This window comes from Homo sapiens, chromosome 2, assembly GCF_000001405.40.
Source record: "Homo sapiens chromosome 2, GRCh38.p14 Primary Assembly".
In the NCBI taxonomy this organism is placed as follows: Eukaryota; Metazoa; Chordata; class Mammalia; order Primates; family Hominidae; genus Homo; species Homo sapiens.
The window spans coordinates 66,067,788-66,081,055 of NC_000002.12; the positions used below are offsets into that span (position 1 = coordinate 66,067,788).

General features: G+C 43.2%; 1 long non-coding RNA gene across 2 annotated transcripts in view, besides 1 other annotated feature; it reads left to right on the plus strand.

Moving 5' to 3' along the window:
- LINC02934 (long intergenic non-protein coding RNA 2934) overlaps positions 1-13,268 on the plus strand; it is a 298,411-nt gene that overhangs the window by 277,713 nt on the left and 7,430 nt on the right. For both annotated transcript variants that reach the window (NR_187140.1, NR_187141.1), the window contains exon 4: positions 4,717-4,865. This is a non-coding gene — a long non-coding RNA (long intergenic non-protein coding RNA 2934). The remainder of the gene's footprint in view (positions 1-4,716; positions 4,866-13,268) is intronic.
- Positions 2,606-4,293: an enhancer, noted in NCBI's record as "VISTA enhancer hs205". NCBI's record gives its function as "enhancer in: genital tubercle[8/9]" and the evidence as "EXISTENCE:transgenic organism evidence [ECO:0001131][PMID:17130149]".

A 13,268-nucleotide genomic window follows, 5' to 3' on the forward strand; every position in this document is an offset into this window, starting at 1 on the left:
CCCAAAGTGCTGGGATTACAGGCATGAGCCACCACTCCCAGCCTGAAGGAGCATTATAGTATTTAATTGAATGCTCTCATTTTTACCAAGGAGAAAACTAAAACCCAGAGAGGTTGGCTTGCCTCAGTTTACCGTCTCATCACAGCGTAAGTTGCACTTTCTCCTTCCTCACCCATTCTTTCCTCCAGACATCGCCAATGCAGGACCATAGGCTAACAGCATCCTTAACAACCCTGGTTATTTCCTTGATTGAGCTCTCCCTAATCAAGGCACGGCCCTCATAGAAGGGAATTTCCAAAAGGCTGCCTGAGGCTGCTGATCAACAATTCATTTTTAGCGTTTCTTTTTAAATCACTCTAAGTTGTTGCACCTGGGTCACAGTGACAGCTGAATAAGGGGGCTGAGCGGCAACGTTGTTCTGGGCACCAGGTTGGTGAGCCCCCTCCGCCATGTATATGCATGAGTTCTCCATTTGCATAAAGCGCAAAAGCATCACTCCCATTAATCACTGCATTCATCTTAATAATTAGTGGCAATAATGTTGAAGAGTGGTGGTCTCCACATCGATTTCTGAGGCACCATGGGCTATTTCTGTTGCAGATGAATGATCATCAAGAGTGACATGTTGATGTCTTTGGATCGACCACCCCAATTCCACGTGCTTTACAGCCTGGCAGCTGGTCAGGAAGCTCTGGTGATCTGTGGGGCTAATGCTGTCCCTCTAACAAGAACAGTAAAAAGGAGTGATGTGACACCTGGGAGGGGGGTTTAGGAAAAAGCCCCTGACCACTTTAAGGGGTGCTCTCTTAGCCATATGCATAGTAAACTAGCTGTAACTAACTGCAAAGCAAGAGGCTATTTGTCATAGAGATTATGACTCCATGGATAAGTACTTGAAAGGCTACCACTTGCTCTCAGACCTTCTCCATAAAAGATTGTCTTGGGGTCTGTAATTTGCCAATACTTCTGGGTCAAGAGAAAGCCATTTCAGATCAGAAATGTAATAGAAAGTTTTAAGGCCTGTGGTACAGTGCCAAAGAGGATGGAAGTATTAATAATTTTCATGGTTTTTTTAAAAAGGCCCTATCAGGTAAAAAAAAAAAAAAGAAAAAAATAAGTCACAAAGGAATCCACTTGAAGATTTGAAAAGAAACTACAAAGGACTTCATTAATACAAAAGGGAAGAATAGTCAGAGAACAAAAGAATAAGGAAGGAGGAAACGAATGGAAAGGCAGGGAAGGAATTATAATAGTGTCAGACAAGGGAGGCTGGTGAGGAAAAACTAAGGAGGAATTAAAACAAAGACTCCTCAACTTTCTAGATCCACGAGATCATCCTGGATATTTCCCCTTTGAGGAGATGAAGACGAAGTGTGAGTGACAGAGAAATTCGGGTGTGAGGTGTAAATGTTTTAAAATGTGGTAATTTATCTTGCACTCTGGGTTAGCAGAAAGCCATCAGCACAGCTTCAGGTTGATTTAGGAAATTTGATAATACGTATTTTTTTGCCTTCTCACCTTATATTCACCGGTAAATGACAGACCCTACTTTTATGATCTTTCGTTCTGTCTTCTTCAAAAGGTGAGGTTTATGCTTTTATGAAAATTAATAAAAATCTCCTAAAGAGAGTGCAGGTGTTTCCAATGGCTATTTATTTCTCTAGGAGTATATTCAAATACAACTGTCCTTCCCCCGACGTGACATAAAGAGAATTCTCTGCATCCCCTCCACTGCTGTCTGTACTAGCACCTTGTCTAGGAGAAGGACAGCACATTGAATCCAGTTGGTGTCTGCACATAAATCATTCTGAAGAAAAAAAGTTTTAATTTACTTAAACAATTGGGTATTTTGTACACAACTAGTTGATCTCAACAATTATTTTTCCAAGATGTATGTGGGGTGTGTGTGTGTGTGTGTGTGTGTGTAATGAACAGCTTTGTGTGAAACACAGCTGACTAAACTTTTGGGACAAGATAATGACCCTCAAAACTGAGCGCTTTGAGAATTTGTTTGTTGCTATACCTCCTTTTCTCTTCTTTGCAGCATTATCTGTTTTTGGCATCTAGAGAGGCTTTGTTACACCTCCATGCTGGGTTCTGAAGGGAAGGGTACAATTGTAAAACATCGAATAAACATGTGTGCAAATAAACACTAGGGCTGACACTTGTCCTCCTAAATGAAGTCCACAAAGATGAGCTCTTGCGTGATCCTCTGAACCAGTTCCTTCCTGGAGATAAAGGGTGCTGAAAAGAAAGTATGTCTTACATACAGGTTTGGAGACAGGGGAAGGATGCTGGGCTGTGAACAATAGCATCCCCAAGGAGCCCTTGCAATGTGGTAGCTGGAGGGCAAAGGAGGGGTGCTAAGTGATGCAGGATCTGGCCATCTTTGACCCCAGGAATTACAGCATTTGAACCAACAAAGGAGGAGCACAATAGGCCTCTACCTGAGGGTCTGGTGTGCCCATTCTGGCCTTAGAGTAGGTTGACCCTGATCAGCCAAAATGCCACAGGCCTAGGATGTGGAGTCCTTGCAGTGAAGTGTTTGTCTTGTGTCATCTGAGTAAGGTCTGGGCATTTTGCAAAGCTAGATTTTCCCTCTGGACCCTTCTCCCCTCTGTGTCTTGCTGTGTCTGGTTTCTTTGCCCTATCGCTCAGTATCTGGCATGTGTATGGGTGTTTTTAATTGGATCCTCTGAAATGCATTTCTGACACTGATTTGGTTATATTCTATTCTATTCTGTTATCAAACAAATTTGCTGTCAAATAAAAGATCAATGTTATTGTAATGTCCTACTTGATGGATTAAATAGGGTATTATTCAACTCTTATTAAACAATCAAGAAAAACACACTGGGACATGCTTTCATTCTCAGCTGCTAACAAATACAGTGTATCTGATCTGTGATTAAGAAACAAAGCAGGAGTAGTTATTTTCAGATTAATTAAACAAACGAGTAGGATTTAGGGACCAGGATTTTTAAAACCCAGTACAATTCTTTGAAACATGTTTGAAAAAGGACATAATTTACTTTAACTACATGAGTGAACACTTAAGAATATAAAATCTTTCAATGACGCAATTCTGGATTAATTGCCCAGAACTATCGCGGTGCCATAAACAAAACCGTTCCAGGGACAGACCTTTAGGAAGAGTTTTTTTTTTTTTTTTTCTTGTGAGTAAATGTCCATTTAGAGAGCTTTTCTAAATTTAGAAGCAACGTTCATCAATCATTTATAATAAGCACCGAAGAACTGCGCTCGCCTGCCTGAGACGCAGCCCCCTGGTGAAGAGCGGTCCCCGACCAGGGCTGTGTTGCCGGACCGGCACCCACTCCATTACCAGCGTCTGACCTTTGTGTTCCTCCGACTTCACTCTCGAGATGCCCAGAGAAAGCAAATATTAAATCAGTAGAAATCTCCCTCTTATCTCAGGCTGCCTGGCTCTATATTATCTTTAGACTCCCCCTTCCCCACGCCACCACCCGGCTTTACATACAGTTGGCTACATTTTGGCTCCTTCTGTCTGATGCTGTTTCCGCTAATGGCTGAAGAAATGGAACATTACACCATTTAACGTGTGTGGGTCACATTAATCACAGAAAATTCTTTTAATGTCTCAGAAGTAACTGTCAAACTGGACATACTGAATCTATTTAAACTAAAGCATGCCATTTTTTATCTACAGTGATCTTTAATTCCCATAAAAGGGTCAAGAAAATGTGATTAAGTGACAGTTTTAAAATGTACTATAATATTAAATAGCTTGATTAAGTGACAACTATAAAATGTAATACAATATTAAGTATCTGGCTATGTCCCAAAAGAACTTTAAAGTATTTTTGAACGGTTTGGGAATTCACTAACCCATAATGGGTTACGAAGGAATTTTTTTTTCTTTTGGTGGGGGACATAAAAACAGTTGAACTGAAAACACACACTAAAAACAAAACAAAGGGAAAAAGTCCTCAGCATTTACAGAGAATATAGAGTTGCAGAGCCTCTCTTTGGAGGGCCAAAGACTGGGTTTTTGGTAATATGGAGATTAAGATCATTTGAAGATTCTGAATTTGCCAGTGCTTGACCAGACTTGTAATGCCTGTGACACAGAGAATAGAATCAAAGATAGTTGTGGTAGGGGGACCTCACAGCTGAATGGAAAGGCCACAGACTAGTCAGTGACCTCCCGGGTGACCTCCAAGGGGCTGACCATCAGCACCCCAGATTCCTGACTTACCTGTGTATTGCAACTCAGTTCCCATCAGGGACAGCATAGGAAACACCAACCTGGCTTGGTCCTCCAGCTCGGTCTCCAGTAGAGTAAGCCAGTGGAGACACCAAAATACTTCGCAATGTCAGGACTATAATGGGAGTCAGTCATGGGGTCCCCATTAGGGAGCTGAGGTTAGAAGGAGACAATTCTATGGAATTCCGAGGAGAAATGTCTGGATCAGGTGCCCAGGCCAAATAACCAAAGACATTCATGCCACTATTCAGACAGTGTACTAACTCTTCTCCAACAATCATTTGGTCACATTTTAGCCTGGGATCCCCCAGAAAGCATAACTTTAGTCAAAGTTGTTGTGCTATTATTCTGTTAGAAGGTACAGTCTCAGGGAGCAGGGGTGAGGGGACAGGGAAGGAAGGAGAGCCAGTATTAGGATGTCTTACCCCTCTGGCTGCCACTGAAGTCTGACTAATTGCTTGTTCTTGCAGGACTGTGCCCCAAGGAAGCCACACAAACTGTGTAGCCAGACAGTCTGTCTGGGAGGAGAAGGAAGGAATTTATCTACCAGCTCCCATCTCTCATGGACCAAATTCTTCCCCACTGTACATAACTCCATATCACTTTCAGATTGCATAAGGTGGGTGTTTGGTGGGCTCTTGGGCATCCTGCTTCTCTGTAGCAACAGGGAAGCCCTGAGACAGGAGGCCAGGTGGGTCAGGTGGAGTCTGCAGAGTGTTAGGTGGAGCCCAGGCAGAACAGGTTGCTATGGGAGTGCCTGGTACAAGAAGAGTCTGGGAGGAACTGAAGGAGCACATTAAGAACTTCTCTATCCGGGTCAGAATCAGATGGAGGCACTCAGTAGGTAGTATAGTTCACCAGAACATTTCCATATGCCCCTGCTGACAGAACATCAATGGAATCTTGATGTATCCTGGCTTTTCTCCGAAGCATAAGCCACTCTCCATCCCCAGCGAGATTTTGGACTGGGTACCATGGACAAGTGCATTGTCTCCTCTAAAAACTGTAAAGTAGATGATAAGTTTTGGCGATGTTTAGCAAGTGGGTGAGCCTAGAATTGCAGACATGTGCTACGCTCCCTTTAAGAGCCTCTCAGAGCCCCCACAGAGATCTCAGAAAAGGGTTGACTCTGACTTTTAAGGACACTCGTCAAGAGAAAGATAGAAAGCCAAGCTAGGTATCATGACTGGTCCCACAGTGACAGAGATGAATAGCCGTGACACATTTATGTAGGCTCGCCTTTTTCTCTGGGTGAGGATGAAGCCTCATTTGGAAGATTTGCTCATCTGTCTAATAAATCAGTGCAGAAAGTTTCCCTGATATTTACTCAGGACTTTCTTTCCCGTCTTCATTTCATTCCATGCCTCTGATTGCTCATCCTCAGACCAGGCTACATAAATCTCTTCTCTTTCTTCTGCCCTTTTGTCAACCATTAGCCTGCTCCCCCTCTGTCATTGTTTCACCAGACTATAGATGTAACTCTTCTAATCTTCCCTGATAAATCAGGCTCTCAGAATCACTCCTTGTTGCTCCCTCAAACTCCCTAGAGCTGGGATATAGGGCTCTGAGGGCCTGGTGCAGACGTTTCTTTTATAATGGGCCCTGAAAGGTTGTCAGCTGCAGATAATTAGGATCTCACTTGCCGCCATCGAGCTGCATATATCTTCCATGCAAAGAACCCCCATCACCTTCAAAAGAATTAACACATACAGAGGAGATATACGAGGGGCTGGCTGACCGGAGGATGGGGCCAGCTCTTCTGAAGGCCAAAACTCTTCGTGTTTCATGTTGAGAGAGAGGCATTCTCTCAGGAGAGGAACCTCGCCCTCCTCACACTTCTTCATGGTAAAAGCCTCACACTGTGTGTCTGGACTGTGCATCATGGAGTAGTGAGAAGAATATCTTTTTAGCTAAATTATTGAATAATAGTGCTGTCCCTTTATGCTCCACCCTATTCTCTCGGTCTCCCTATTGAGACAAACTTTAGTCTTGCACTGAGAGCTCAAGTATATTTTGTTTGCTGTCTTTATTTTCTAACTCTGATAATAATTGGCTCACATCACTTGTAAACACGATTCAGTCTTTCTTCCTTCCTTCCTTCCTTTCTTTCTTTCCTTCTTTCTTTCCTTCCTTCCCTCCCTCTTTCTTTCTTTCTTCCTTCCTTCCTTCCTTCCTTCCTTCCTTCCTTCCTTCCTTCCTTCCTTCCTTCCTTCCTTCCTTCCTTCCTTCCTTCCTTTCTTTCTTTCTTTCTTTCTTTCTTTCTTTCTTTCTTTCTTTCTCTTTCTTTCTGACAGGATCTCACTCTGTCACCCAGGCTGTAGCGCAGTGGTGCGATCTCGGCTCACTGCAACCTCTGCCTCCCAGGCTTAAGCGATTCTCCTGCCTCAACCTCCCAAGAAGCTGGGATTACAGGCATGTGCCACTACCGTCTGGCTAATTTTTGTATTTTTAGTAGCGACAGGGTTTCACCATGTTGGCCAGGCTGGTCTTGAACTCCTGACCTTGAATGATCCACCTGCCTTGGCCTCCCAAAGTACTGGGATTACAGATGTGAGCCACCATGCCCGGCCCACGATTCAGTTTTTCTTTAGTAGTTTCTCAGAACTAACAGGTATATAGCTTCAGGAAAACTGGGTGGGCTGTCAAATGGATATGACATCAGAATGCAATGTTGCCCCCAAAGTTAGCCTGGCACAGAGAAATTCTTCTCAGGCAAGTGATCCATTAGACCTCAGGGTCCAGCATGGTTGGGGTTGGAGATGATACCCAGAGGGAGGGAGAAAAGTGGCATGGGTTGGAGATTCTCCCTCCACAAGGAGAAGAGCAGTTTTATTTTTACTCATATTATATATTAAGATTCCATCTAAGATTTTATATTTTTTAAAAGGGGAAAACAAGCTTGAAAACTACTAATGCTATCACCTTGTACCTGAGGAAAGAGGCCCAGAGATAGGAAGGACACATGGCTTGCTAGTGCCAAGCCAAATTTAGAATCCACAATCTCCAGTACCTTGGTTTTTCATTGTTCTTCACCGACCAGCTGCAACATAATCTTCATAATAATGTTCTTGAGTATTGCCTTGGAATCATTAGGAAACAGACAGGCCTATATATTCCCAGGGACTAGCGTTGATGATAAAGTGCTCTTTGTGGTCTGAGATGCTCCTGCTGACCTGTGCACTTGGAGTGATTTTTCTGGTGGTGGAGACAGATGGGCACTGAGTCACCGTCACGATCGCCATCCTTTAGGAGGTAATTGGTGAGTCTCAGGGGTGTGATATTTGACCATGAACCTCAGCAAAGGGAACTGACACCTTAAGGGAGAAAGTGCAATGTGGCCTGGATCTCATTGGGGTCACTGTGGGGGCTAACCATAGAATTTCAGACCTAGATTGGGTCATAGCTGTCTCCCAGCCTAACTCCCTTTTTTTTAAAAAGCTGAAGACATCAAGGCCCACAAAGGTCAAGTGATTTTCCCACACAGAGGAGGAGGGAATTCAGAACTAGTGGGCAGCAGGCATTGGTTCTTGTTTCTTGGCTGGATGGAGCCTAATTAGTCTACTCTCCTATTGCCCTTTCCACCCGGTCCAGTTTAAGACAGGGTTGTGGATAAAGGTGTCTGCTCTGCAGACTAAAATTTCCTTGAGTCAACTGTTCCTGGGTCTAAATAGGAGAGAGAAAGGGACATTGAGGAAGTTATCAAAGGTGCTCGGTTCTCACCCTAAAGTATGTCCTTCTCCTGGGTCTTTTCATCAATGAGGATGGTCGTTGAGCCTCCAAATATTAACTGGTTTTTCTTATTTCATTTGATTCAGCACTTGGGGGAGGAAGAAAAATATTATTTATTGGGTGCCCTCATATTCAAGTCTCAACATTCTACTTTCTGGAACTTATATTAACAGCAGCTGCCTGCTGGAATCTCCAGGAATCTTAGTCCATTTCCCCGCAGAGAATGGAGCCTGTTGGAGTTGTTCTTAATAAGAATCCTAGTGGTCGGCATCATTCCTTGAAATGGGTGAACGCCAAAGTCATAGTGGGTTTTGACTGAGATTCCTTTTCTAAGATGGGTCTTTATAAACATTTTTAAAGAATAAAACTTGAAACAAATGGAAGGCCTCATTCCCACCAGGACTTCAAATACCAACATATGTATCAAGGAATCTATTCTATTTGATAAGTCAGTTCAAAGTGACCAGGAAATAGCAACAAGGAGCCAGGCATGGAAACCAGCATTTGGTGTTTAGTGAATATTACACACCATCTGTATGTGGGTTGCTCTCCAAAATCCTTGAGTTCTGAAACATCTCTCTTCCTTTTCTGGGTTTTTTTTTTTTTTAAATCAGACATTTGTCTATTTTTAGAGATTCAGAGGGCTTTCCCTGATTAGGTCAAAGTATCACAGGAAAAAAAAATAATAAAACACTGAAAGGAATCCACCTATCAAGAAAGCATCTTGGCCAAAGATAGGAGAGACGAGGGAAGGAGGTCCTGGAGGTCATGAGAAGAGTGAGCAATTAATCAGAAGGTCAAAGGTCTCTCTGAGAACACCATGGTGCTGTGCACAGAGAGTCACTTATTATTGAGAAAGGCAATGATTTAAAATAAGCTTCCTCATCTGGAAGGATGAGAATAATATCCACCTCATAGAGTATTATCTCGGGGTAACATGAGATAATTACGTTTAATGCTCATGAACTGGAAAACGCTTTGAAAATACAACATAGGATTAAGAGAGGTTGTTCGAAACCCTGAAAACTGCACAGCCTCCTGAAAGAGTGGAAACTAGATGCATGGCCTGTTGTAGGGTATTCTGTTAACTGATTTGCAAGAGGCTTCTTGGTCTGCCTTCCTCTTTATAACTTCACAGAAGGTACAAAGCACCAGTACAGCCCCCTCTAAGAGCAGGCATCAGTTCTGACTGGCTCTGTTATCTTAAAACAAAAACAAAAACAAAAACCTTTCTGGCTGGGTGTGGTGGCTCATGCCTGTAATCCCAGCACTTTGGGAGGCCAAGATGGGCAGATCACCTGAGGTTGGGAGTTCGAGACCAGCCTGACCAACATGGAGAAGCCCCGTCTCTACTAAAAATACAAAATTAGCCGGGCGTGGTGGCCCATGTTTGTAATCCCAGCTATTCAGCAGGCTGAGGCAGGAGAACTGCTTGAACCCGGGAGGCGGAGGTTGTGGTGAGCCGAGATCGGGCCATTGCATTTCAGCCTGGCCAACAAGAGTGAAACTCCATCTCAAAAAACAAACAACCAAACAAACAAAACTTTCTAAGAGCAAATAATGTAAATAATGTATCTGTCACCCATTGCACAGTGCCTAACCTTCCACCACCCTCTAAGGAGCATCTCCTTAGGGCCCTTGAAGATGGGAAGGATTCTTCACAAGTGCAAATGACTGGAAGGCAGCCAGTATCTACAGTGTTGAGGTTTCTGTCCAGCTAAAAAAAATCTAGAGGAAAAGCACTGAGTGTTGGAGGAAATGGGTGGTGAAGATTTCCCTTGAATGGTTCTCACATCAGATCAGAGGGGTGTTGGGGAGGAATGTTAATTTTTTGCCTACAGACTAAAAATAATGGCAATTATTAGTGAATTAAAATATTCTTAACCTTTAACAGAAAGGGAACCTCCCAGAATGCAGATGTTTTTTCACTCCACCAACATTTATTGAGCATCTAGTATGTGTTGATCTCTATGATGGGAGCTGGGAAGACATAGCTGTGAAGAAGGGCAAGCATCTCTGTGGACCTATTTCCTAGTAGGATGACAAGAAGGCAGGCATTGTCTCAAACCAGGGCATGACTCTCCCACAAACTCTAAAGGAAGCTGGTCAGTGGTTCTCCTTTTAATTTGCATAATCTGTATGGTTTGATTCTGACATCTGAGGCAGGTAAGATTTTTCATTTTTTGCCTGTCATGCCACTTGTTCTTTGTGTTTATTATTATTTTTTAATAAAAAAATTGTTGCTGGGCATGATGGCTCACGCCTGTAATCCCAGCATTTTGGGAGGCCGACCACGGCAGGCGGACCACGTGAGGTCAGGAGTTCAAGACCAGCCTAGCCAACATGGTGAAACACTGTCTTTACTAAAAATACAAAAAGAAAAAATTAGCCGGGCATGGTGGCAGGTGCCTGTAATCCCAGCTACTCAGGAGGCTGAGGCAGGAGAATTGCTTGAACCTGGGAGATGGAGGTTGCAGTGAGCTGAGATCACGCCACTGTACTCCAGCCTGGGTGAAAGAGCAAGATGTCGTCTCAAAAAAAAAAATTGTTTACTTTCCAGTGTCATTTTAACTTGTTACTAGTGAGCATCTGGCCTGGGTGTTTTCCATTAGCATGAAAATTCAGAAGGCTACAGAAGGAAATACCTATAATTGAGCAGCGAGAGAGCCACTTCATTCTGTGGCCAGGCAATATGTCTTGCATTTCTCTAGTGTAAATAAAATGATGATTCAAAGAATGGTCCCCATTAATGAGTATCTGATTTAGAATAAAACAAAATCCATGCTGGGAAGTTGATGAGCTTGATTTTGCTGAATTGCTTTGAGCTTGCAGCTTATATTTATTGGTTCTTTCCTTTCGACAATTGTCACCAGTTGTCTGCTGTTCTTTCGGGAGAGGGCTTGAAGGTTGATTTTAGTTCCCTGTAACTGGAGGTGACATGTGAAAGCTCAAAGCTATTGAAAAGGTAGGTGATTATTAAAATGTAATGTGTTTCTGTTTTCCTGATTATGACCTCCCAGTCTTGCAATTTGCTGCCAAGCACGTGCCAAAGCTGGAGCACAGGTGGCGAGGTGTCTTTCAGGCTTTGGGAGAGTTTTAGATCATATTAACTATTGACTTATTCCTTTTTCCTAATCCTTTTCAATAGTAGACATGCTGAAAAATTAATATACAGGGAGAAAGAGATGCATGGTTATCTACGAGGCTGTCTGTGAAGAGAGAGAAGGAAACGGAGTGAGAGAAGGAGAAAAAAAAGAGAAAGGGAGAGAGAAAAACATGGAGCGGGGGTCGGGGGGAGAGAGAGACGACAGCACATAATTAAGCAGAAATAACACTTAAAAACAATTGGTGCAGAAGGGTATTTTCCAGAAAAGCAATAGAGCCCTGTTTGAGCACATGCTCCACTTGCATTAACCATGCATTAAAATTAGAGGCAATTCACTTCTGCACATTCTCTGTTGGTTCCTTGTTAGGCTCCAACTCACCACTCCAATGTGCTTGATCAGATGAGAATGACTGGAGTAGGGGGCTCTGGAAACTCTAAATGCCTGTCTTATAAAAAGCAGGAATCACAGTCAAGTGAGAAAACAGTTTTATTGGAGGTAAATGCTGGGTGCCCTACACAGGGGACTGGGACTCATGATCATTAGGGCACAGACATGATGCCTTCAAGAGAGCTGATGGAAAAGAGCGGTTAGTTTTCCAGCACGACTGTTAGAATTAGGCAAGCTGGGTCAATTAAAAGAGCAGGTGCTCTGTAGCTAGTTAGCTGTGTGAAGGATTTTTTTGGCTTGCGGGAGCCTCTGTTTTCTCATCTATCAAGTGGGACTAATACCTATGTCTAAGGAATAAGCAATGTCCCTATGCACCCACAATAATTCCTAGCATACTGCGTGTATCAGTTATGGAAAACTGGGACTTCATCAATAGATAATATAGATATTTAAATTAGGGTAGACTCCAAGAGGGAACATATTCTGTTACATGTAGGCTGTGTCCATAGGGACAAAACAAAAGAATTCATATCCCAAGCCTCCTGCCTTTATGACTGTTTTCTATTCTTATTCATGTGATGACTAATTTATGTTCATAAATCTCAGACCCACCTCCCCTTTTCTACACCCCCTGCAAAGCAATATTGAACTAAAAGCTACCAAATCATTATCCCTTCTTCTGAACTGGGGAAGGTATACAAAAATATAGTCTCTTTACTTAAATGCACACAGAGACTGTGGTGAAAATGACACGACACTTAATCCATATTACTTCCTCCCATTTCAGGGGCAGAAGTTCTCCTCACACACAAAGGACACTGGTCCCTTAGGAGGTTCTTGTGCAGATCTGGATGGGGAGTGTGGGGTCCTCACAGTTTTCATGGGCATCTGCCTGGACTGCTCAGCCCTCCCCTGCTACACACTGTGATCATGCAGCAGGCTGGGTCGGGAATCCCTGGAAAGGAGCATCACGTGGAGCTCCAGGAGGGAACAGGCTTACAACAAAAGCCACCCTCTCCGTGAAATCAGATCCATCTCTGCCCCTGGGGGGCCCAGTGGCAGTTGAGCATGCTTATAGATGGCATAAATCACTTGCAGAACCTCAAGAAACAATTAACTCAGATTGAAAGTAGCTGATAAGGTTTCACTGCCTTGCGTGTTTATGTCCTTTGTTTCAGCTTTTGGTCTTGAGACGGGGAGGATTAAAATTGTTTCAAGGGCCAGGTTGCAAGGAAGGACCAGTAGTTAAGTCAGCTACACTTAGCTGTACTGGCCCTTAGATGTGGCATCTGTTTCACATTCTAAGCAATTTGAATACTCACAGGTTTGCCTTCTTAAAATAAATGTACACACCCACCCTACCCCACTTCCCCCTCAAGAAACACCAGAAATTAATTGATCTTTCTGAGAAGTCAACCTGACAATTTAGAGTGGGTCAATAGACTTAGATGTAGAGAAAATGACAATTCTGTAGTTAGATAGATAAATAGGTAAGTGAGTAGATGGGTGGGTGGATGGATGGATGGATGGATGGATAGATAGATATATAGATATCCTAAAAATGTCTTGCAGAAAGAAACCAGGCTACCAACAGAGAAGACTTTGTATGTCTGTTTAGACCCACCTTGTTTTTCAGAGATGGAATCCTGCCATGTTGCTCAGGGCAGTTTCAAACTCCTGGGCTCAAATGATCATCCCGCCTTGGCCTCCCAAGTAGCTGGGACTACAGGCATGAACCACCAAGCCCAGCTCAGCTCCTTCACTTTAGATTTGATAAGGCATCACTCCATCACTCAACC